The sequence below is a fragment of the Homo sapiens genome, chromosome 3, assembly GCF_000001405.40.
Source record: "Homo sapiens chromosome 3, GRCh38.p14 Primary Assembly".
In the NCBI taxonomy this organism is placed as follows: Eukaryota; Metazoa; Chordata; class Mammalia; order Primates; family Hominidae; genus Homo; species Homo sapiens.
The window spans coordinates 184,312,541-184,335,548 of NC_000003.12; the positions used below are offsets into that span (position 1 = coordinate 184,312,541).

Here is a 23,008-nt window from a genome sequence, read left to right on the forward strand (position 1 = left end):
GCCCCCGACCGGCTGTCAGTTTTAAGATTACTTCTCTTCTGTCCTTATTCTTCCATCCTTACGCTTTTGCCCCTCCGTGGGAGTGTCTGCTCTTTTTATATTTTATTTCATTTATTTATTTATTTATTTGAAACAGAGTCTCACTCTGTTGCCCAGGCTGGAATGCAGTTGTGATCTCAGGTCACTGCAGCCTCCAACTCCCAGGTTCAAGCGATTCTCCTGCCTTAGCCTCTCCACTAGCTGGGACTACAGGTGCTTGCCACCACATCTGGCTGATTTTTCTATTTATAGTAGAGATGAGGTTTCACCATGTTGGCCAGGGTGCTCTCGAACTCCTGACTTCAGGTGATCTGCCTGCCTTGGCCTCCCAAAGTGCTGGAATTACAGGCGTGAGCCACCGTGCCTGCCTTTATTTTTTATTTTTATTTTTATTTTTTGAGACAGAGTCTCACTGTCATCCAGGCTAGAGTGCAGTGGCGCAATCTTGGCTCACTGCAAGCTCTGCCTCCCGGGTTCAAGCAGTTTTCTGCCTCTGCCTCCTGAGTGGCTGGGACTACAGGCGCACGCCACCAGACCCGTCTAATTTTTTGTATTTTAGTAGAGATGGGGGTTTCACCATGTTGGCCAGGATGGTGACCCCGTGATCCGCCCTGACCCCGTGATCCGCCCGCCTCGGCCTTCCAAAGTGCTGGGATTACAGGCGTGAACCACCGCGCCCGGCCCATGATCCTTTTAAACGACAAATCTCATACTACTTGCCTAGTTAGAATGTTTCTAACTTTTTAAACGACAAATCTCATACTACTTGCCTAGTTAGAATGTTTCTATCCTTTTAATTTCCTTTGTTATAGGCCTTTCAAGGACCTAATCTAAATTCTTTTCAAAGCCTGCATAATTCGTGTTGTATCACGATTTACTTAGGCAGGACTGAGTCTTTAATTTCTTTTTTTCTTTCTTTTTTTTTTTTTTTGAGATGGAGTCTCACCCTGTCGCCAGGCTAGAGTGCAGTGGCGTAATTTCGGCTCACTGCAACCTCCGCCTCCCGGGTTCAAGCAATTCTCTGCCTCTGCCTACCGAGTAGCTAGGACTACAGGCGTGCGCCACCAGGCCCAGCTAATTTTTTGTATTTTAGTAGAGACGGGGTTTCACCATGTTGGCCAGGATGGTCTAGATCTCCTGACCCCGTGATCCGCCCGCCTCGGCCTCCCAAAGTGCTGGGATTACAGGCGTGAGCCACTGCGCCCGGCCCATGATCTTTTTAAACTACAAATCTCATACTACTTGCCTAATTAGAATGTTTCTATCCTTTTAATTTCCTTTGTTATTGGCCTTTCAATGACCTAATCTAAATTATTTTCAAAGCCTGCATAATTCGTATTGTATCACGATTTACTTAGGCAGGACGGAGTCTTTAATTTCTTTCTTTTTTTTTTTTGAGATGGAGTCTCGCCCTGTCGCCAGGCTAGGCTAGAGTGCAGTGGCACAATCTCCGCTCACTGCAACCTCTGCCTCCCGGGCTCAAACAATTCTCCTGCCTCAGCCTCCCAAGTAGCTGGGACTACGGGTGCGCCACCACGCCCGGCTAATTTTTGTATTTTTAGTAAAGACGGGGTTTCACCATGTTGGCCAGGATGGTCTCGATCTCTTGACCTCGTGATCCGCCCACCTCGGCCTCCCAAAGTACTGGGATTAAGGTGTGAGCCACCGCGCCCCGCTTATTTTTTTTTTTTTTTTGCCGAGACTTTGATTTCAGTTTCTCAGCCCTCAACCAGCACTTCGCCTTGTACTTAGCATGCACTCAATAAATGGTTGCTTAAAATATGAATGAACTAAAGAATCGCGGAACAGAGAGAAACACAGAGGGGAATCGGTCTGGGAGTTTCAAAGTTCGGGAGGGGACACGGGGGCGGGCTGTGGCTGTCACGTGACGGGGCGGGGGCAAATCCCATGTGCTCGGCGGCGCAGATCGCCCGGCGCGGCTCCGCCCCCTGCGCCGGTCACGTGGGGGCGCCGGCTGCGCCTGCGGAGAAGCGGTGGCCGCCGAGCGGGATCTGTGCGGGGAGCCGGAAATGGTTGTGGACTACGTCTGTGCGGCTGCGTGGGGCTCGGCCGCGCGGACTGAAGGAGACTGAAGGTAAAGCCGCCATGTCCGGGCCCGACCCGGCCCCCCCACCCCCTCCCCCCGCATCCGCCGCCATCCGGGCCGGGACCGGCCACCCTGCGCCGCCGCCCCGGCGCCCTGGCCCCGCGGCCCGACCCAGGGCCCCGGCCCGCCAGGGTCCCGATCCCCGGCCCACGTGTGCCTGGCCCGGCCGGGCCTGGCTGCTGGGTGGGGGTGGGGAGCGCAGGGCCGGACTATGCGGGCCCCGCGGGCTGGTAGGGCGCCGGGTTCGTCGCCGCGAAATGCCACCTCGGCCTGACCCGAGGAGGCCCGGCAGCCCACGGGCGCAGGCACCACGGCTCCCGGCCCGCCGCCCCCTCCCCCCTTCGCGGCCAGGCCGCCGGGAAGTGACACGTTGTTCTTTGGCACTGGCCCGCGCTGCGCAGGGAGGGCGCAGGGGAGGGAGGCGGTGGCGGCGGGCAGGGAGGAGCCCCCGGCCCCGCCCGCCCTCCGGGCCGACCCTCACTTGCCTGAAACCGGCTCCTCGACGGCCGCCGCCCGCCTGGCCTTTTAGGGCCTGACTCCCGCCCTTCCTGGCCTACACTCCTGGGCGGCGGCAGGCCTAGCTTCTGGCCCAGTGCGGGTTCCCCGGCGGCAGGCGTATCCTGTGTGCCCCTGGGCCAGGCCCGAACCCGGTGTCCCCGGGTGGGGGGTGGGGACGCCACGGCCGAAGCAGCTAGCTCCGTTCGTGATCCGGGAGCCTGGTGCCAGCGAGACCTGGAATTTCCGGTCTGGTTGGTCTGGGGCCCCGCGGAGCCAGGTTGATACCCTCACCTCCCAACCCCAGGCCCTCGGATGCCCAGAACCTGTAGGCCGCACCGTGGACTTGTTCTTAATCGAGGGGGTGAGTGAGGGGTCTGTTTCAGTAGGTCAGGGGTTGGTTGGAAGTGATGCGGGTTTGACAGCATGTTGGTGGGGACAGGCTGTATCTTTTCTGCTTCACCCTCTTGGCATCTCTGGGACTCCGTATGGGACCCAGCCCTTGCATCAACCCTTTCACCGCCCCATTTGCCTTAAGCTTGGGTCCCTTCCTCTTCCTGAGCGCCACTCTTTCCCAACAGGTGCTGGGGGGACCCTGATGTGGCACCAAATGAAATGAACAAAGCTCCACAGTCCACAGGCCCCCCACCCGCCCCATCCCCCGGACTCCCACAGGTAATTAGGGAGGAATTAGCAGGGGTGGGGGTGGGGGAGACCAGGCAGTCTCCAGCCTCTGGATCTTCCTACCCCCATCTGTGTCAGGGCAAAGTGCAGCCGCCTGCTGCCAAATTGAGACAGGGCCCCTGGGCTGTCCCCGGGGGCTGTCACGGGGAGGGGGTATGTGGATTGTTAAGGCTCTTGCCGCAGATCTGCTCCCCTTATTTCACCAGCTTGGGTTTCTGCCCCACCTGGGCTTCCCCTCTTGCTGAACTCTGGTCTCCCCTCTTCAGCCAGCGTTTCCCCCGGGGCAGACAGCGCCGGTGGTGTTCAGTACGCCACAAGCGACACAAATGAACACGCCTTCTCAGCCCCGCCAGGTGAGGGGCTGTGGGGAGGGGAGTAGGGGACCTGGGTGGGAGCAGTGGAAAGCTTTGGCCAGTTTAGGTCTAGGATGGAAACTGGAGGCCCCATACCTGGCCTTAATCCTCTGTGTTCTTTCATGCGGCTCTGCGCCTTGCCCTGTTGATTACTCACGGTGGCTGGTCCCTTGGATAGTATGTTGTCAATGAGGGTGGCATTACTGGGATCCTAGTGCCTCTGAGAATTGGGGGCAGTGCTTTGGGCCCTGCTGCCAGCTCTTGCTTTCCTATTTGCTCCTTTTACCGGAGGCTGCTATTGCTCTATTGCTCTCTCTGCTTTCTCTTTGGACTGTGGTGAGGTAAACACTCCAGCTGGTCCTTGCCTTTCTCTGTTCCCCAGCTTCTTCCTTACTAAGTGGGAGGATTCTTGTCCTGTCTTATTGCCTTCATTCCCTCCCCCCGCCATCACCTTGGGGGTAATTCTCTTCTTTCCTATCCCCATGTGCTCTCAGGGAGGATTCAGGTCTCTGCAGGTAATATCCCTTTCCCAACCCTGGACAGTCTTCTGGTCTCATCCTTACCCTCCACCCTAGTCAGGGGCTAGACACAGGGAATGGGGATCTTCAGGGTAGTGACTTGTTTGGTGTCCAGGTTCTCAGTTGGAGGCCGAGTGATGCATGTTAGGGGCTACATCTTGAAGAACGCGCATCTGGGGACTGGGATGCTGTTGCATGTTATGGTTAGCTCCTCATTACATGCTGGTGGAGCAGTGCATGCTGGGGATATGTTGCCCGAAAGGGCCTTACTTAGGCATGATGCATCTCGGTGTTAGGAAGCCTCTGCAGAGGGGTAGTTTGGTAGAGGTGACGTGTGTATGCATGGCAGTGAGAGAGTAAATCTCTGCAGGATGCAAAGTGTACATCTGAATTTGGAGGTTTGGAGGGCATGTGTGTGTACAAGAAGCCGCTTAGCCATTTGGTCAAGTGGTCTTGGAAGGATTGGTCGCCATGTTCTGAAGCCCACAGTACTTCTTTCCAGGCTATAGAGACATTGTGGAGTGGCAATTTTTTGTCCACTTCCTTCTCTTTACAATGCCAACTGCTTTCCTCCCTCCTGACAGCACTTCTACCCTAGCCGGGCCCAGCCCCCGAGCAGTGCAGCCTCCCGAGTGCAGAGTGCAGCCCCTGCCCGCCCTGGCCCAGCTGCCCATGTCTACCCTGCTGGATCCCAAGTAATGATGATCCCTTCCCAGATCTCCTACCCAGCCTCCCAGGGGGCCTACTACATCCCTGGACAGGTGAGGCTGGGGGCTTGGAGCCTAGAAGCCACAGACCCCTATACCTCTCACTTAACTCACCCTGACCCTCCAGTTCCATTGCTTTTCCAGAGGTGGGACTTCCTTCTGGTCATTGCCCAGAGTTGGCTTGTCTTGTCTTGACCTATGTTCTTTTTGGAGTCTGATATGGAACTCATAGCTCCCTCAACTCCTTCTCTCCCTCTCCCCCTTCCCCACCAGGGGCGTTCCACATACGTTGTCCCGACACAGCAGTACCCTGTGCAGCCAGGAGCCCCAGGCTTCTATCCAGGTGCAAGCCCTACAGAATTTGGGACCTACGGTAAGCAGGGGAGGGAGTCAGAGGTGAGAACAAGCCCAAGGGAGCATCTAAACTCATCTGCTGATTTCTAAAGCAGAAGACCCTTCCCAGGCTTGGCTTCTGGTCTAAAAATGATAAGGTTAATAGGTGGTAGGGATTGGTGCTTAATATTTAACTGGTGTTGATTGTGGGGAGAAAATTTGATTTTATTGCCAGGAGAGTTAAGAGTCTTTCCCACATCAGGGAATGTAGGATCAGGCACCAGCCTGAGAGCCTATTAGTAGGCTTTCCCTGTGACACTTCTTCCATGGTTGGGAGCCCATGTAATGCAAATTTGGGAGGTTTTTGTAGCTATTTTTTATTTATGTTCTAGGGAAGGATTAGTCTGTTCTTTATGGCAGTGGCTTCCAAGTTTTTTGATCACCTATCAGGAAAAGTTTTGAGTATGAATCTCTCATACATGTATGTTTTTGTTTATATGTATGCAAAATTTAAACAAATACACTTGTGCTTGTCAAAAACAAGTGGAATTTAGGGATGAAATTAAAGAATGTGCCCGGATCTTGCTTGTAATCCCAGCACTTTGGGAGTCAGGAGGACTGCTTAAGGCCAGGAGTTTGAGACCAGCCTGGGAAACTTAGTGAGACCCTGTCTCTATTTTAAAATTTGAGGGGGGCTGAGCACGGTGGCTCACGCCTGTAGTCCCAGCACTTTGGGAGGCCAAGACAGGCGGATCACTTGAGGTCAGGTGTTCGAGACCAGCCTGGCCAACATAGTGAAGCTCCGTCTCTACTAAATTTTATTGTTATTATTTTAATTTTCTTTTTGAGACGGAGTCTCGCTCTGTCACCCAGGCTGGAATGTAGTCGCACAGTCTTGGCTCTCTGCAGCCTCCGCCTCTTGGGTTCAAGTGATTCTCCTGCCTCAGCCTCCCGAGTAGCTGGGATTACAGGCGTGTGCCACCACACCCAGCTAATTTTTGTGTTTTTAGTAGAGATGGTGTTTCATCATGTTGACCAGGCTGGTCTCGAACTCCTGGCCTCAAGTGATCCACCTGCCTCAGCCTCCCAAAGTGCTGAGATTATAGGCGTGAGCCACCACGCCTGGCCCTGTCTCAACTAAAAATACAAAAATTAGGCCTGGTGATGCACTCTTGTAATCCCAGCTATTCGGGAGGCTGAGGCAGGAGGATCGCTTGAACCCGGGATGTGGAGATTGCAGTGAACCAAGATTGTGCCACTGTATTCCAGCCTGGGCAATAGAGTGAGACTCCATCTCAAAAAAAAAAAAAAATTAAGGGGAAAAAAGAACTCACCCACTTTGGAGATAGTTTGCTTTAAGGAATTAATTTTTCTTCATCTTGAGCCTAGTTCATAATGTTACTTTGTTTCTTTGCCCCTTTGTAAAGGGCTGGAGACAGGAACTAGACTCAAGTTAAATGGAACAGGGTTGGCAGATCTCTTTCTCTCATTACCAGCCAAAGACCTGGTTCTGTTTCAGGTTCAGAGTATGTGTGTACATGTTGATAGCGGGTGGGGTACACACACGAGAGTAACTTGTACGGTGGAAGGACAGACATAAGTCCTCCTGGTCACTGGTGTGTGGTAGGAAAGAGTGCCTGCCTACGAGGGGTGTGTGTGTGTGTGTGTGTGTGTGTGTGTGTGTGTGTGTTTGTGTGTGTGTGTGTGTTAGGAATTCTTGTAAACGCAGTTCAGACTGGTTCCCCAGCTTTGACAGACACCTAATTCCCTGGGGGAGGAGGGCAGGGCAGGGCAAGGCAAGGGGCCGGCTGTGGGTGGTGAGAGGTTTTGGGGTGGGAGGTGTCAGGCAGGCATTAGTATATGGTTGGGCCCTGACGCTACCACCATTCTTCTCCGTCCCCCCTCCCCCAAGCTGGCGCCTACTATCCAGCCCAAGGGGTGCAGCAGTTTCCCACTGGCGTGGCCCCCACCCCAGTTTTGATGAACCAGCCACCCCAGATTGCTCCCAAGAGGGAGCGTAAGACGGTGAGTAGCAGTGAGGGGCTCCGGGACATCTGGGAAGGGGAGAATCAAGGTCAGGTGCTGCTGGGACATTGTGCCGGAAAGAGCAGTGACTTGAGGAGGAAGGAGCTGAGAGTGGGCAGAGAATGGTGTCTGTGGAGGGCTCAGGTTCTTTGTAAGATGCTAAGATTTCAGCATAGAAGCAGGTCATGGGAAGACTGAAGTGCCTAGCGAGGAAGTTCCTGCGAGACCTGGGTGCTGGGGGGTTGGAAGAACTATGCTTGGTTTTGGGTTTCTAGTGGCTTGCCTTGGAAATGGTTTGTTTTCTGTGGCCCCAGCCCCCATTCCCCCCTGCCCCCCCAGTCCTGGAAGCTCTCAAGGCCTCCGCCTCTGCTCAGTCCTCAAGCCCTGGGCGTGGTGCCCAGAATAGGGTGCCAGAGCTGGGGAAGCCGCTGAGTCACCCTGGCTCCACCTACTGGATCTGGGCCCTGCCCCCAGAGATCAGGCACACTAGCCACAAGTGAGCCGATTGGGTTCTAGATGGGGGTCCTGGGCCCCAGGGTGTGCAGCCACTGACTTGGGGACTGCTGGTGGGGTAGGGATGAGGGAGGGAGGGGCATTGTGATGTACAGGGCTGCTCTGTGAGATCAAGGGTCTCTTAAGGGTGGGAGCTGGGGCAGGGACTACGAGAGCAGCCAGATGGGCTGAAAGTGGAACTCAAGGGGTTTCTGGCACCTACCTACCTGCTTCCCGCTGGGGGGTGGGGAGTTGGCCCAGAGTCTTAAGATTGGGGCAGGGTGGAGAGGTGGGCTCTTCCTGCTTCCCACTCATCTTATAGCTTTCTTTCCCCAGATCCGAATTCGAGATCCAAACCAAGGAGGAAAGGATATCACAGAGGAGATCATGTCTGGGGCCCGCACTGCCTCCACACCCACCCCTCCCCAGGTACTGTCTGCTTTTCGAGTGATACCCTGGCTGGGATGTCTGTTCTGCCCTGGACTCCCAAGTCCCTGGATCTTTTCTTTCAACTAAGGGATTTATTTCCCTGCTTTCCTGGATTTCTAGGCAGAGCTAAAGTAGAAATGGCTCTAGTAAAGAAGGGTTGTGGGACTCTTCAGTGCAAACTTGGTAACCCTTTGTGTCCTGCAGACGGGAGGCGGTCTGGAGCCTCAAGCTAATGGGGAGACGCCCCAGGTTGCTGTCATTGTCCGGCCAGGTAAGTAAGCCGGTGGGACGGAGCTTTTATGGGGAAAGGGAATGTTAACAGTTAAATGCTGAGGTGGTGGAGTGACTTGAACTGGGTACCAGAGAATGATGACTTAGATTTCAGGTTGTGGGATTTTGAGGGTGAATTGGGTTTTGGATGAAAGTGGAAGTATAGCTTAGGTGGGGAGAAGATGATGCGGGGTTATTAAGTTGGGAATGCCTGGGCTGGAGGATGGGGAGGAACAACAGCAGTTAAGCACTTGCCTTTAGTTGCTCATTCTTCCTTCCTATGGTGCAGATGACCGGTCACAGGGAGCAATCATTGCTGACCGGCCAGGGCTGCCTGGCCCAGAGCATAGCCCTTCAGAATCCCAGCCTTCGTCGCCTTCTCCGACCCCATCACCATCCCCAGTCTTGGAACCGGGGTCTGAGCCTAATCTCGCAGTCCTCTCTATTCCTGGGGACACTATGACAACTATACAAATGTCTGTAGAAGAATCAACCCCCATCTCCCGTGAAACTGGGGAGCCATATCGCCTCTCTCCAGAACCCACTCCTCTCGCCGAACCCATACTGGAAGTAGAAGTGACACTTAGCAAACCGGTTCCAGAATCTGAGTTTTCTTCCAGTCCTCTCCAGGCTCCCACCCCTTTGGCATCTCACACAGTGGAAATTCATGAGCCTAATGGCATGGTCCCATCTGAAGATCTGGAACCAGAGGTGGAGTCAAGCCCAGAGCTTGCTCCTCCCCCAGCTTGCCCCTCCGAATCCCCTGTGCCCATTGCTCCAACTGCCCAACCTGAGGAACTGCTCAACGGAGCCCCCTCGCCACCAGCTGTGGACTTAAGCCCAGTCAGTGAGCCAGAGGAGCAGGCCAAGGAGGTGACAGCATCAATGGCGCCCCCCACCATCCCCTCTGCTACTCCAGCTACGGCTCCTTCAGCTACTTCCCCAGCTCAGGAGGAGGAAATGGAAGAAGAAGAAGAAGAGGAAGAAGGAGAAGCAGGAGAAGCAGGAGAAGCTGAGAGTGAGAAAGGAGGAGAGGAACTGCTCCCCCCAGAGAGTACCCCTATTCCAGCCAACTTGTCTCAGAATTTGGAGGCAGCAGCAGCCACTCAAGGTAAGGTGTGGTTGGACGGTAGAGGTAGGGCGGGCTAGGGGATATCGTTCCTTGCCCTCCTTGATGACCGCCCATTTTTGACATGTTTCTGGGTCCCTGCAATGGAATCTAAGAACTAGATTAAGGACTTTTAAGCCTAAAAAGGGTGATGCAAAGGGGAAATACTGTTCTTTGGCTGCTTTCTATTTCCCAGGGATTAAGGGTACTCCTTAAATTATTGGCAAAGATCCATGCTTTTATTTATTTATTTTTAATTAGTGGCAGTATCTGTGCCAAAGAGGAGACGGAAAATTAAGGAGCTAAATAAGAAGGAGGCTGTTGGAGACCTTCTGGATGCCTTCAAGGAGGTAAGGGAGCAGAAAATGGGAGGGGAGAGGGCCAAGTTGAGGTATGGAGCAGTGGTCATTCTGCAACCAAAACTGGATGTTCTGTTGTTCTAGGCGAACCCGGCAGTACCAGAGGTGGAAAATCAGCCTCCTGCAGGCAGCAATCCAGGCCCAGAGTCTGAGGGCAGTGGTGTGCCCCCACGTCCTGAGGAAGCAGATGAGACCTGGGACTCAAAGGAAGACAAAATTCACAATGCTGAGAACATCCAGCCCGGGGAACAGAAGTATGAATATAAGTCAGGTATGCTGAAGAAAGGGTTGAGAATGGCTTGAGTTTTCTTATTAGGGCCAGAGGAGGCAGTATGATTGCTTCATTCTGTTTTCCTTGCAGATCAGTGGAAGCCTCTAAACCTAGAGGAGAAAAAACGTTACGACCGTGAGTTCCTGCTTGGTTTTCAGTTCATCTTTGCCAGTATGCAGAAGCCAGAGGGATTGCCACATATCAGTGACGTGGTGCTGGACAAGGTTAGTGGCTTCAGTTGGGGAGGGGACGATAAGTTTGTGCTGGATGGATTGGGGAGGAGCCTGAGGTCCTGAAAGAGTAGTCAACCGCTCTAGCCTGCTTCTGAGACCTTTTCCTGTCCTCTTTGCAGGCCAATAAAACACCACTGCGGCCACTGGATCCCACTAGACTACAAGGCATAAATTGTGGCCCAGACTTCACTCCATCCTTTGCCAACCTTGGCCGGACAACCCTTAGCACCCGTGGGCCCCCAAGGGGTGGGCCAGGTGGGGAGCTGCCCCGTGGGCCGGTGAGTGGGGCTGGGTAAAGTGGCAGGTGGGCAAGGAGTGGGAGTGGATGATTCCGTGTCTCAGTGCCCGCGGGGAGGGGTTTGCCCTGGAGGCGTGTAGTAGTGGTGTCACATATTGTGCTGACTAGTTCCATGTCCCCTCTTGTCTTCATCCCTTGCTTAGCAGGCTGGCCTGGGACCCCGGCGCTCTCAGCAGGGACCCCGAAAAGAACCACGCAAGATCATTGCCACAGTGTTAATGACCGAAGATATAAAACTGAACAAAGCAGAGAAAGCCTGGAAACCCAGCAGCAAGCGGACGGCGGCTGATAAGGATCGAGGGGAAGAAGATGCTGATGGCAGCAAAACCCAGGTACTGGCAAGTCCTGCTTTTGGTCTCTCTCCATTTCTTCTCCAGGTCTGCCATCTGTGCCCTCTTTGCTTCTTTTTGTCCTTATCACTAGCATCTGTCATGCCTAAGTCCCCACCACCCTCTCCTGTCCCTCCCAACAGCCTGTTCTGAGACCCTCACTGGAACTCTTGTCTCTTCTCCCTCCAGGACCTATTCCGCAGGGTGCGCTCCATCCTGAATAAACTGACACCCCAGATGTTCCAGCAGCTGATGAAGCAAGTGACGCAGCTGGCCATCGACACCGAGGAACGCCTCAAAGGGGTCATTGACCTCATTTTTGAGAAGGCCATTTCAGAGCCCAACTTCTCTGTGGCCTATGCCAACATGTGCCGCTGCCTCATGGCGGTTAGTTTCCAGTGGGTTCTAAATCTAATGGTCTGGTTGCCCATTCCTATTCCCAAGACTCCTTGAGTCCAGCTTCTTGGTTCCCCTCCAACTTGTGCCTCTTCCAGCTGGAAGGAGGCAGAGCTGGGGCCAGAGATCTTCCTGGGTCAGGTAGTTAAAGGCTCTTGGAGGGCCTTCCCTGCCCAGGACTAGTCTTGAGTGTGACATTCTCTCTGACCTACAGCTGAAAGTGCCCACTACGGAAAAGCCAACAGTGACTGTGAACTTCCGAAAGCTGTTGTTGAATCGATGTCAGAAGGAGTTTGAGAAAGACAAAGATGATGATGAGGTTTTTGAGAAGAAGCAAAAAGAGATGGATGAAGCTGCTACGGTGAGAGAAAACCCACTATCGATTCCACTCACCACTTACCTCCTTCCCTTACCCAGATGCTACTCAGCTGTAGAATTTGGAATGGAGGTAGTGGTGTCTTGGGGATTTCTCTGGCTCAGGACGTTTTTTTTCCTTTTTGAGACAGTCTTGCTCTGTCACCCAGGCTGGAGTGCAGTGGTGTGATCTTGGCTAGCCTCCACCTCCTGAGTTCAAGCGATTCTCCTGCCTCAGCCTCCCAAGTAGCTGGGATTACAGGCATGTGCCACCATACCTGGCTAATTTTTTTGTATTTTTAATAGAGACGGGGTTTTACCATGTTGGCCAAGCTGGTCTCAAACTCCTCCTGACCTCAAGTGATCCGCCTGCCTCAGCCTCCCAAATTGATGGGATTACAGGCATGAGCCACTATGCCCAGCCAGCCGGCCTCAGGACTGAGTGCTTATTGCTAGGTTTGGATATCCAGGTAGAAAAGGGTTTTAGCCGAGTGGCTGGTTATCTTTTTGACACAATCCCTGTCCTGTGAATGGCAGGCAGAGGAACGAGGACGCCTGAAGGAAGAGCTGGAAGAGGCTCGGGACATAGCCCGGCGGCGCTCTTTAGGGAATATCAAGTTTATTGGAGAGTTGTTCAAACTGAAGATGTTAACAGAGGCAATAATGCATGACTGTGTGGTCAAACTGCTTAAGAACCATGATGAAGAGTCCCTTGAGTGCCTTTGTCGTCTGCTCACCACCATTGGCAAAGACCTGGACTTTGAAAAAGCCAAGGTAGAGGTCCTTGCATCTGGAGGGGGATGGGCTGAAGCATATGTGGGGCTCACTGAGCCCACAATGATGGGGCGGAAGGCCTGAGGAGGGGTGGGGCCTGCAGTTATAGGTGGGACATGAGAAGTTCCTGGTCTGATGCCTTTCTCCTTCCTAGCCCCGAATGGATCAGTATTTCAACCAGATGGAAAAAATCATTAAAGAAAAGAAGACGTCATCCCGCATCCGCTTTATGCTGCAGGACGTGCTGGATCTGCGAGGGGTGTGTGTCCCCCTCCTCCCCACTGCCAGCCTGCTGCCTCCAGTTTCTGACACTGCCTTGTCTTGCCTTCCCTGACATCATCGTGACTGGCCCTCTGTCTCCACAGAGCAATTGGGTGCCACGCCGAGGGGATCAGGGTCCCAAGACCATTGACCAGATCCATAAGGAGGCTGAGATGGAAGAACATCGAGAGCACATCAAAGTGCAGCAGCTCATGGCCAAGGGCAGTGACAAGCGTCGGGGCGGTCCTCCAGGCCCTCCCATCAGTGAGTTCCAAGCTGGGATTGAGAAGGGAGCAGTGAAGGGACCGGGAGGTTATACTTTCCTCTGATGACTTCCTGTTAGTGCCACGTGTCTGGGCCACTGAGACACCATGATGGAACTGAGGATCTGAGGAAGGGAGGCTGGGGGTGGCCCAAGGGGAAGGGGCTGCTAGGATTTATTCATTATTCCAGTATGCCCCTCTTTTTGTGTCAGGCCGTGGACTTCCCCTTGTGGATGATGGTGGCTGGAACACAGTTCCCATCAGCAAAGGTAGCCGCCCCATTGACACCTCACGACTCACCAAGATCACCAAGGTAGGGGTGTGTGTGGGAGTGGGTGATTCAGCTCAGGTTTAGATCTTAGTCCCTTCACTTTTCTAAAGTTGAGAAGGTGACAGCTGAATGTTTCCTCTTAGACTAACTGGTTGGATTGCTGGAGACAGGACTGCCAGCTGTAGAGGGAGGGTGGTACTCCCATTAGTCTGGACCAGTGTTTGGCAAACACACACACACACACACACACACACACACACGTGCCAGATCCAGCCCATTCATACATCCCAGGACCCAGTAGTGGTTTTTACATTTTAAAGTTGCGAAAAATCAAAAAGTGAATGGTAATTTATGCTGTGGAAATTAAATAAAATGTAAATGTCAGTGTCCATGAAGTTTTATTGGAACACAGTCACAGCATGCCTTTATCATCTACAGCTGGTTTCATGCTACTGTGGCAGAATTGAGTAGTTGCAATAGAGACTGGCCCTTTATTAAAAAAGATTTTCTGACCCCTGGACTGGGCCATTCACTACCTGTTTGGTTGCATATGGTGGTGCTGGCCAAGGGACTCAGCCGGGTTGGACCTATGATTCTACTCCCCTTTTCTTCTTCAGCCTGGCTCCATCGATTCTAACAACCAGCTCTTTGCACCTGGAGGGCGACTGAGCTGGGGCAAGGGCAGCAGCGGAGGCTCAGGAGCCAAGCCCTCAGACGCAGGTATGGAGGCAGTGTCAGGAGCTGGGTGGTTACCCGTCAGAGCTCCCTTGAGGACAGAGCCTTTTCTGTTAGGGAGGCCTTCAGTACAAGGTGGTTAGGCAATGCGGGCAATAGAGGAGGTTTGTGTTGTGGTTCCAGGGATTGAACTGCTTTACTTTTGGGACTGGGACCAAGTGTCCTAAACTGGCAAGTAGGGGATAAAATGCAGGAAAGGAGAAAAAGATTTTAATACGGATTTTCTGCATCCCCAGCATCAGAAGCTGCTCGCCCAGCTACTAGTACTTTGAATCGCTTCTCAGCCCTTCAACAAGCGGTACCCACAGAAAGCACAGATAATAGACGTGTGGTGCAGAGGTGAGGTTTCCTGGACATCTTTGTTATTCACACTGGGGGTACCGTGATTGGGTTCTGGTTGTTGCCATAGGTTGGAAATTTCTTCATACCTGTCCTGGTTGGAGCCCTTGGGTTAGATTGGGGCATACTCATTATGCTAAGAACAAGGCCCAACAGTTGCTCAGCATGTTGTGTAATTACATGAGTGCCTGGGCAGTGCAAGTGAGTGAAAATTTGTCTGTCTGTCTTCCAGGAGTAGCTTGAGCCGAGAACGAGGCGAGAAAGCTGGAGACCGAGGAGACCGCCTAGAGCGGAGTGAACGGGGAGGGGACCGTGGGGACCGGCTTGATCGTGCGCGGACACCTGCTACCAAGCGGAGCTTCAGCAAGGAAGTGGAGGAGCGGAGTAGAGAACGGCCCTCCCAGCCTGAGGGGCTGCGCAAGGCAGCTAGCCTCACGGAGGATCGGGACCGTGGGCGGGATGCCGGTGAGAGTCTGGGAGAGGAATGGAGGGAAAGGCATTGGCTGCCTTGGGACTAGCTGGTCCCCAGCTTTTTGAGAGCTCCAAATCTTGTTTGCTGGGAAGACTGAAAAGTCCCTCTAATCTGTGTTCTCTTCCCACAGTGAAGCGAGAAGCTGCCCTACCCCCAGTGAGCCCCCTGAAGGCGGCTCTCTCTGAGGAGGAGTTAGAGAAGAAATCCAAGGCTATCATTGAGGAATATCTCCATCTCAATGACATGAAAGTAGGCAGTGGGAGCGGCGTGTGATTGAGGAGTGGGCAGGGAGGGATCATGCTGGCAGGCATAGGGGTCCGGGGTCTGGGTCAGACAGTGACTGGTCTCTTCCTGCTGTGCCCTGCACCCCTCAGGAGGCAGTCCAGTGCGTGCAGGAGCTGGCCTCACCCTCCTTGCTCTTCATCTTTGTACGGCATGGTGTCGAGTCTACGCTGGAGCGCAGTGCCATTGCTCGTGAGCATATGGGGCAGCTGCTGCACCAGCTGCTCTGTGCTGGGCATCTGTCTACTGCTCAGTACTACCAAGGGTATGACCAGCTTCTCTGGGCCTCCCACTTATACAGACCCACAATTTTCTATCTCCTTTTTGGGACCCTTGGAACCTTGCATAAGAGTGTAGGTTCCCTGGCCGGGTGTGGTGGCTTATGCCTGTAATCCCTGCACTTTGGGAGGCCAAGGTGGGTTGGATTCCTTAGAGGATCACGTGAGGTTGGGAGTTCTAGACCAGCCTGGCCAACATGGTGAAACCCTGTCTCTACTAATAATACAAAAATTAGCCAGGCGTGGTGGCACAGTAATCCCAGCTACTCGGAGGCTGAGGCAGGAGAACTGCTTGAACCCGGGAGGTGGAGGTTGCAGTGAGCCGAGATCGTGCCATTGCACTCCAGCCTGGGTGACAAAAGCAAAACTGTCTCAAAAAAAAAACCAAAAAACAGTATGGGTTCCTTGACCATCCTGGTCAGCATAACTTTAGGGGGTTAAGCGGGGTGAAAACCATCTAAGGACACAGAGGTGGCCTTAGCTTGAAATAATTGTCCCCATGTCTAGAAAATGTTCCTGGGGGTTCCATAGTTGATGCCCTAGCCATGCCACGTTGCCCCAGAAGGAGAGTGGGGACCTGGCCTAGAATGTCTTGACTTTGAATTCCCTTGGCAGGTTGTATGAAATCTTGGAATTGGCTGAGGACATGGAAATTGACATCCCCCACGTGTGGCTCTACCTAGCGGAACTGGTAACACCCATTCTGCAGGAAGGTGGGGTGCCCATGGGGGAGCTGTTCAGGTAAGTCCCCCTGGGTGGAATTCAGGGGAGGTAAAGACCAGAGGAAAGGTGGTAGGGAAATGGCTGGGTTGGATACCCTGGTTTGGAGGGAGATGGAGTAGTGGTGAGAGAACTGTGGAGGCTGTCAGCATTAGGTTTTTCTCTTCTTGTAGGGAGATTACAAAGCCTCTGAGACCGTTGGGCAAAGCTGCTTCCCTGTTGCTGGAGATCCTGGGCCTCCTGTGCAAAAGCATGGTGAGTGAGGGCCAGGAGTCCAGAGATGCCTCCCACGGTGTGGTTTTGGCTGTTTGCTGTGGCCCTGAAGCTTCATGGTCCATTGGTGGAGTGGAGTGATGGTGATGACAGGATTGTGTTGGTACCTGGGAGAGGAAATACTGAGGTGGGCCATCTCCCGCACACCAGTTCCTATCATGAGTTCTGGCCAAGACTGGAGGAGAATGGCAGTCTAAGACCCTAGGCCTGTGATTGATGCATTTATTTATTCATTCATTGAACTAGGGTTTTGTTGATGATCATTTATCATATACTAAGCACTAGGGACACAGCAATGAATAAAACACAAGAAACAAGTTGGTAGAGAAAAAGGAAGAAATGGGCCGGGCGCAGTGGCTCACGCCTGTAATCCCAGCACTTTGAGAGGCCGACGTGGGTGGATCACGAGGTCAGGAGTTCAAGACCAGCTTGGCCAATATGGTGAAACCCCATCTCTACTAAAAACACAAAAATTAGCCGTGTTGTGGCAGGTGCCTGTAATTCCACCTACTCAGGAGGCTGAGGCAGGAGAATCACTTGACCCGGGAGGCGGAGGTAGCAGTGAGCCGAGATTGTGCCACTGCACTCCAGCCTGGGAAACAGAGCAAGACTCTGTCTCCAAAAAAGAAAAAAGAAATGACAGCTTGATAAAAACAACAGTAAAGCGTGACATAAAACAGTTGAAATAGAGTGGAGTATCTTAAGTACTGTGGGGTTGCAAAGGAATATTTGACAATATTTGTGACAGGAGGCTTTCAGGGTGCTGAAGCGGCTTTGTGAAAGTTAATTGGTAACTAGCGAATATAAAGGTAAAGAGATGGGGAAAGGTAAGTTGAATGTGGTACTTAGTGGAAGTGAGAAGTTGGGGTGAGTGTGTGCAGTTTCAAGGGTTCAGCCATCTGGAACCTGGAGGAATCACACTTGGGATTTAAAGGAATTGTTATGTCAACATCATTTAATTCTTTTAAATAGACGTGTACCAGGACAAGTTGTTTTTTAACAACAAATAAGCATATTGAACTATTTGTGTATTTCATCAACTCCAAGGTGCCATAGATTATAAGACATTCTTTATGCGCTGTTAAGAAAGAAAAGACTGGGCCGGGCGTGGTAATCCCAGCACTTTGGGAGGCAGAGGTGGGTGGATCACGTGAGGTCAGGAGTTGGAAACCAGCCTGGCCAACATGATGAAACCCTGTATCTACTAAAAATACAAAAAAATTAGCTGGACATGGTGGTGCGCACCTGTAGTCCCAGCTACTTGGGAGGCTGAGGCAGGAGAATTGCTTGAACCCAGGAGGGGGAGGTTGCAGTAAGCCAAGATTGTGCCACTGCACTCCAGCCTGGGCGACAGAGCAAGACTCTGTCTCAAAATAAAAAAAGATATATATCGGCTGTAAGACAACTTTTAGTTAAAATGTGAAAAAATGGGCATGTTTTAAAATCTGTGAACTGCAATAATCTTGCTAAGAGCCAGTGCCATTAGTCTGTTATAAAGAAAAGAGTGATGTCTTCATAGTCTATTGCCCCTTACAGAAAATGCACTCAGACTGCTGGTTTTATGAGGATTTTTTATTTGTGTTAGGGATGGGGTATATTTGTGTCTTAAGATTTTCTGGGTTTAGGAAACAAGCATACTTGTTAGAAGTTGTCCCTTCCTAGAGGCCCTTACATCATTTTTCCTACCCTAGTGTCATAGCACTTTGGTGGACAAGTTCTCTTTTATTTTATTTTATTATTATTATTTTTTTGAGACAGAGTCTCGCTGTGTCGCCCAGGCTGGAGTGCAGTGGCGTGATCTCAGCTCATTGCAACCCTCGCCTTGGGTTCAAGCGATTCTCCTGCCTCAGCCTCCCGAGTAGCTGGGATTACAGGCACCCACCACCACGCCTGGCTAATTTTTGTATTTTCTGTAGAGACGGGGTTTCACCATGTTGGTCAGGCTGGTCTCCGACTCCTGACCTCAGGTGATCCGCCCACCTCGACCTTTCAGAGTGCTAGGATTACAGGCGTGAGCCACCGCCCGCTCCTGGGACGAGTTCTTATTTATTTGGGTGGTTATTTGACTGACATCTGTGCCCTGCACCAGACCGTAGGAATGGAAGGGCTTTGCCTATTAGTATTTCTATAGCATCCTTAATGCCTAGCAAGTACCTAGTAGGCTTTCAGTAAATATTTGTTGGATTAATGTGGTAGAGCTGTTGGGTCCTTGGAGAGAGAGAGCTTTGGTAAGCTGGGTTGGTCTTGTGTTTTCCAGGGTCCTAAAAAGGTGGGGACGCTGTGGCGAGAAGCCGGGCTTAGCTGGAAGGAATTTCTACCTGAAGGCCAGGACATTGGTGCATTCGTCGCTGAACAGGTTTGGGGATGGAGTTGGGTTAATTCTAGCATTTGAGGCTGGCCAGTCTTCTTTCTTGTCTCCTGTTGGCAACCTTACCTCTTAACTGCGGGCCTTTTCCATTGCAGAAGGTGGAGTATACCCTGGGAGAGGAGTCGGAAGCCCCTGGCCAGAGGGCACTCCCCTCCGAGGAGCTGAACAGGCAGCTGGAGAAGCTGCTGAAGGAGGGCAGCAGTAACCAGCGGGTGTTCGACTGGATAGAGGTAGGTTTCTCCTGGATATCGATAAAGGAAAGGTAGTTCTTAGGGTGGGGGTGGGGGCAGCAAGAATGAAGACTGAAGGGCCCAATTCAGAATCTGGGGATCATTTGTTTCTCCCATACAGGCCAACCTGAGTGAGCAGCAGATAGTATCCAACACGTTAGTTCGAGCCCTCATGACGGCTGTCTGCTATTCTGCAATTATTTGTAAGAGGAACCAGGGAGATGGAGGGGCAAGGGTGGGCCTGACAGACAAGTGGAGGGAGGTGGGTGTCAGCCTTGGCCTCCCAGTTCTGAACCGGGGTAAGGGTATATTGCTCCACTCATCCCTGTCTTCTTGTAGTTGAGACTCCCCTCCGAGTGGACGTTGCAGTGCTGAAAGCGCGAGCGAAGCTGCTGCAGAAATACCTGTGTGACGAGCAGAAGGAGCTACAGGCGCTCTACGCCCTCCAGGCCCTTGTAGTGACCTTAGAACAGCCTCCCAGTAAGAGCCAGGCCATGGGGACAGGGGTGGGGTGGAGGGACTGCCAGATAGCAGGGCATGAGACCCTTCATGGAAGGGTCTTAATCCAAGAAAGGTAGGTAGTCATTAGAGAGCAAAATGCCCTCTGGGTTTCATTCTTTCCTTTTACGTTTGTGTTGTGTTGTTCCTACAAGTGGAAGGAGTTAGACACAGCCTTGAAGGGTAATTGCCTGTTTTGTGCCTAGCCATGTGTTTGATGCCAACAGTGCAGAGGTGATAAATGATAGGATCTTCCCAGTACCGTGTGCCCCCACGGCGTGGCACAGGGCTGAAATGCTTTGCTTACCTTGCCTCATGTAGTCCTCACAAATGTTGTTTAGGGTGGATGGTATTACCCCTATTTTCCACATGAGGAGACTGAGGTCTCAGTGAACATGTCTCAGGTTATGCATTCAGAACATAGGTATGTGTCAGGGCATTGGCATGCTCACAGAGAGGAAGCCGAGCAATTTCCTGTGCTGGCCTGGAGTTAGTACTGGCGTGAGCAATGAGCCTGGGAAGACGGGTGCTCTCGGAGGGAGGACACCTGGTCTGAGGGGTAATGAGTGGTAATTCACTCCACAACAACTGGGAAGGGGAGGGGGAGAATGTTTGAAGCGAAGGCACTATGTGTGTTCTTTCTACCTATGGTAGGAAGAACTTGACACAGGGAAAAGAACTATTAAAGAAAGGCCAGTGTGGGAGAGCACAGCAACCAGTCCTAAGTGAGGCAAGATGGGGCCGAAGAGAGGGATGTGGGCCTGACCACACAGGGCCGGGTGTAAGCCATGGCCAGAGTCTGGGGCTTTAGCCTGGGGGCAAGAAAACGCCTTTGTGGGATTTTAAGCAAGGAATAAAGGAATTTGATTTTAGTTTTTAGATCATCTTGGCAATAGAGGGAAGAGTGGTTTGGAATGGGGTGAGAGTGGATGTGGCAGTGTTAGCACCAGTGGCTCAGCCTTGCTGGTGATGGTGGAGAGGAGTAGGCAGATCAAGAGATACTTAGGAAATGGAGTTGGCAGCTTTTGGTTACACTGGTCTGGGGAGGGGGCCGTGAGAGATTAGAAGTCATGGATGACTCCCAGGATGGTTTTTAAATCACAGTGGGCTTAGAGGCCATAGTGTGATGTCATTTGCTGGGGTAGGCAACGGTGGATCAAGTTGAGTTGTGGTCCTTGAGTAAGGGAATCGAGATGTCAGCTCAATAGCTGGGGTATCTGGGTCCTTTTGGAAAAGAAGAGATCAGGGCAGGAGGCAGCTTTGTGAAATGCCGGCACAGGGTAACTCATGTGCAAGTCATAAGAGGATACGGGCTTGCCTGAGGGAGAGTGATAAGGGCCTGAGATACAGCCCCAAGGAGGTAGAGCGGACATACTGGTAGGGACCAAAGGAGGACAGGCCCCTCTGAACCAAGGACAGAGAAATTTGAGGAGAGGGATGTGGTTGATAATGCCAGATGCTGCTGTGAGCGTTTGTAGGAGTGGGCCTGAAAATGCAGGATGTTTGGAATATAAAAACATAGAGGCCACCCTGGCAAAAACAGTATTTAGTGGGGCAGGGGACAGATTCTGGATTGGAAAGGACTGAGAAATACTTAAGTGAGACAGAAAGAAGGGAAAACATCAAGTGTAGACAAAATATTTTATTAGCTGTAAGATAGTGGTTGAAAACAGGGCTTTTTGTTTTTAGGTTAGAGAAACTTGGGCTTGAAAATACAGGGCAGAGTGCATAATCGATTGGATGGGGTCCCTGGGTGGGTATGTGTGGGATTTGGAGTGTAGGTACGGGTTAAGTGAAGGTTCTGCCCTGCTATGGCCCATTGCTATGGGGTGGGGGTAGCAGGTGACTGTGCCCCTAGGCAGTTTGTGACTTTGAGGCTGGGCATGCCCTGCAGAACATCCTGGCTGGCAGCATCTCATAGATGGCTTAGAAGTGTAAGGTTTGGTTTGGAAAGACTGGTGGTGCCTTGTGGGCACTGGGGTCGGTTGTGTTTCAGGGGTTATAGGACACGTTGCTTGGGAAGGCTACCCAGCAGCTAGGGGTTGAGGAGAAAGAGGGCCCGAACAGGTGATGCTTGAGTTGAGTCCTGAAGGAACAAGACACGAGGAAGTTTCCGGCAAAGGATATAGCATCCACAAAAGTGTCAAGGCCAGAGAAGGTGTGTATGTACAGGAAATGTGTGGGGAAGGAAGGGAAATTGAGATCAGGAGTTGTCAGGATCTGTTTGGGGGGCAGTGAATGTTCAGGTTACATGTAGGATATATATAGGACTTTATGTATGATATATATAGGACTTTTAGCGATTTCCTGAATTCAGGAGTACCAATTCTGAATATAGTTTTCTCCATTAAATACATCATGGGCAGAGAGGTTTCAGGCTGCCAAGGTGAGGCCAAGCAAGTTTGTAAGGTTTTTCTGATGGCCAAGTGACTCATTGCTGTGCAGCAGTCTCAGATCATGAGATTAGCATCCTGTCAGAGGCCTAGTCACTCTGGAATGGCCACAAATGTCAGGCTGGTGCATCAGGGCCTTGTTTGAACAGTGGAACTTGGGAGGGTTCCCTGGGGTGGGCTGGGGTGGCGGTGGCCAGTCACCTCTAACTGCTGTCCCGCCTGCTTGCAGACCTGCTGCGGATGTTCTTTGACGCACTGTATGACGAGGACGTGGTGAAGGAGGATGCCTTCTACAGTTGGGAGAGTAGCAAGGACCCCGCTGAGCAGCAGGGCAAGGGTGTGGCCCTTAAATCTGTCACAGCCTTCTTCAAGTGGCTCCGTGAAGCAGAGGAGGAGTCTGACCACAACTGAGGGCTGGTGGGGCCGGGGACCTGGAGCCCCATGGACACACAGATGGCCCGGCTAGCCGCCTGGACTGCAGGGGGGCGGCAGCAGCGGCGGTGGCAGTGGGTGCCTGTAGTGTGATGTGTCTGAACTAATAAAGTGGCTGAAGAGGCAGGATGGCTTGGGGCTGCCTGGGCCCCCCTCCAGGATGCCGCCAGGTGTCCCTCTCCTCCCCCTGGGGCACAGAGATATATTATATATAAAGTCTTGAAATTTGGTGTGTCTTGGGGTGGGGAGGGGCACCAACGCCTGCCCCTGGGGTCCTTTTTTTTATTTTCTGAAAATCACTCTCGGGACTGCCGTCCTCGCTGCTGGGGGCATATGCCCCAGCCCCTGTACCACCCCTGCTGTTGCCTGGGCAGGGGGAAGGGGGGGCACGGTGCCTGTAATTATTAAACATGAATTCAATTAAGCTCACTGCCTTTCTGCTTTATGCCCTGCTCCCTCTAGAGAAGGTGTTTATAGGTGGGGATCCTTCCCAGAGCTGGTACTGTAGCGCTGTTCCCTGTAACCTGGCACCCCTCCTGCCTCTTCCCCTGTCCATGATTGCAGGGATCTGAGGTTTCCTGGAAGGTTGGGCCCTCAGATGGGCTTGATAGGTGCCTTC

The 23,008-nt window shown here is 52.4% G+C and overlaps 1 protein-coding gene and 1 non-coding gene across 9 annotated transcripts, besides 8 other annotated features; both read left to right on the forward strand.

Moving 5' to 3' along the window:
• Positions 1,489-1,989: an enhancer, noted in NCBI's record as "H3K27ac hESC enhancer chr3:184031817-184032317 (GRCh37/hg19 assembly coordinates)". NCBI's record gives its function as "activates a minimal SCP1, AML or CMV promoter by ChIP-STARR-seq in naive H9 embryonic stem cells {active_cell/tissue: H9 hESC(naive)}" and the evidence as "EXISTENCE:reporter gene assay evidence [ECO:0000049][PMID:30033119]".
• Positions 1,489-2,146: a biological region, named in NCBI's record as "H3K27ac hESC enhancer GRCh37_chr3:184031817-184032317".
• Positions 1,817-2,146: a silencer, noted in NCBI's record as "silent region_14960". NCBI's record gives its function as "represses an Ori minimal core promoter by ATAC-STARR-seq in GM12878 lymphoblastoid cells {active_cell/tissue: GM12878}" and the evidence as "EXISTENCE:reporter gene assay evidence [ECO:0000049][PMID:35858748]".
• On the forward strand, positions 2,066-22,818 carry EIF4G1 (eukaryotic translation initiation factor 4 gamma 1). 8 transcript variants are annotated; one of them, NM_001194946.2, is made up of 34 exons: positions 2,066-2,134; positions 2,949-3,005; positions 3,223-3,316; positions 3,592-3,678; positions 4,173-4,193; positions 4,781-4,957; positions 5,177-5,276; positions 7,149-7,261; positions 8,090-8,182; positions 8,387-8,453; positions 8,742-9,563; positions 9,822-9,910; positions 10,004-10,190; positions 10,281-10,414; positions 10,543-10,701; positions 10,868-11,053; positions 11,240-11,437; positions 11,661-11,807; positions 12,338-12,574; positions 12,729-12,833; positions 12,940-13,099; positions 13,311-13,411; positions 13,987-14,089; positions 14,341-14,443; positions 14,676-14,908; positions 15,046-15,164; positions 15,290-15,462; positions 16,091-16,216; positions 16,369-16,450; positions 18,726-18,824; positions 18,932-19,066; positions 19,188-19,269; positions 19,406-19,546; positions 22,187-22,813. In NM_001194946.2, exons 3-34 carry the CDS (start codon positions 3,257-3,259, stop codon positions 22,366-22,368), a joined length of 4,821 nt encoding a protein of 1,606 aa, NP_001181875.2. In that variant the 5' UTR covers positions 2,066-2,134; positions 2,949-3,005; positions 3,223-3,256; the 3' UTR covers positions 22,369-22,813.
• Positions 2,167-2,876: a silencer, noted in NCBI's record as "silent region_14961". NCBI's record gives its function as "represses an Ori minimal core promoter by ATAC-STARR-seq in GM12878 lymphoblastoid cells {active_cell/tissue: GM12878}" and the evidence as "EXISTENCE:reporter gene assay evidence [ECO:0000049][PMID:35858748]".
• Positions 2,167-3,335: a biological region, named in NCBI's record as "H3K27ac hESC enhancer GRCh37_chr3:184033042-184033663".
• Positions 2,714-3,335: an enhancer, noted in NCBI's record as "H3K27ac hESC enhancer chr3:184033042-184033663 (GRCh37/hg19 assembly coordinates)". NCBI's record gives its function as "activates a minimal SCP1, AML or CMV promoter by ChIP-STARR-seq in naive H9 embryonic stem cells {active_cell/tissue: H9 hESC(naive)}" and the evidence as "EXISTENCE:reporter gene assay evidence [ECO:0000049][PMID:30033119]".
• Positions 13,156-13,231, forward strand: SNORD66 (small nucleolar RNA, C/D box 66). The gene has a single exon (NR_003055.1). It is a non-coding gene; the product is annotated as a small nucleolar RNA, C/D box 66 (small nucleolar RNA).
• Positions 14,813-15,313: an enhancer, noted in NCBI's record as "H3K4me1 hESC enhancer chr3:184045141-184045641 (GRCh37/hg19 assembly coordinates)". NCBI's record gives its function as "activates a minimal SCP1, AML or CMV promoter by ChIP-STARR-seq in primed H9 embryonic stem cells {active_cell/tissue: H9 hESC(primed)}" and the evidence as "EXISTENCE:reporter gene assay evidence [ECO:0000049][PMID:30033119]".
• Positions 22,144-22,293: an enhancer, noted in NCBI's record as "active region_20908". NCBI's record gives its function as "activates an Ori minimal core promoter by ATAC-STARR-seq in GM12878 lymphoblastoid cells {active_cell/tissue: GM12878}" and the evidence as "EXISTENCE:reporter gene assay evidence [ECO:0000049][PMID:35858748]".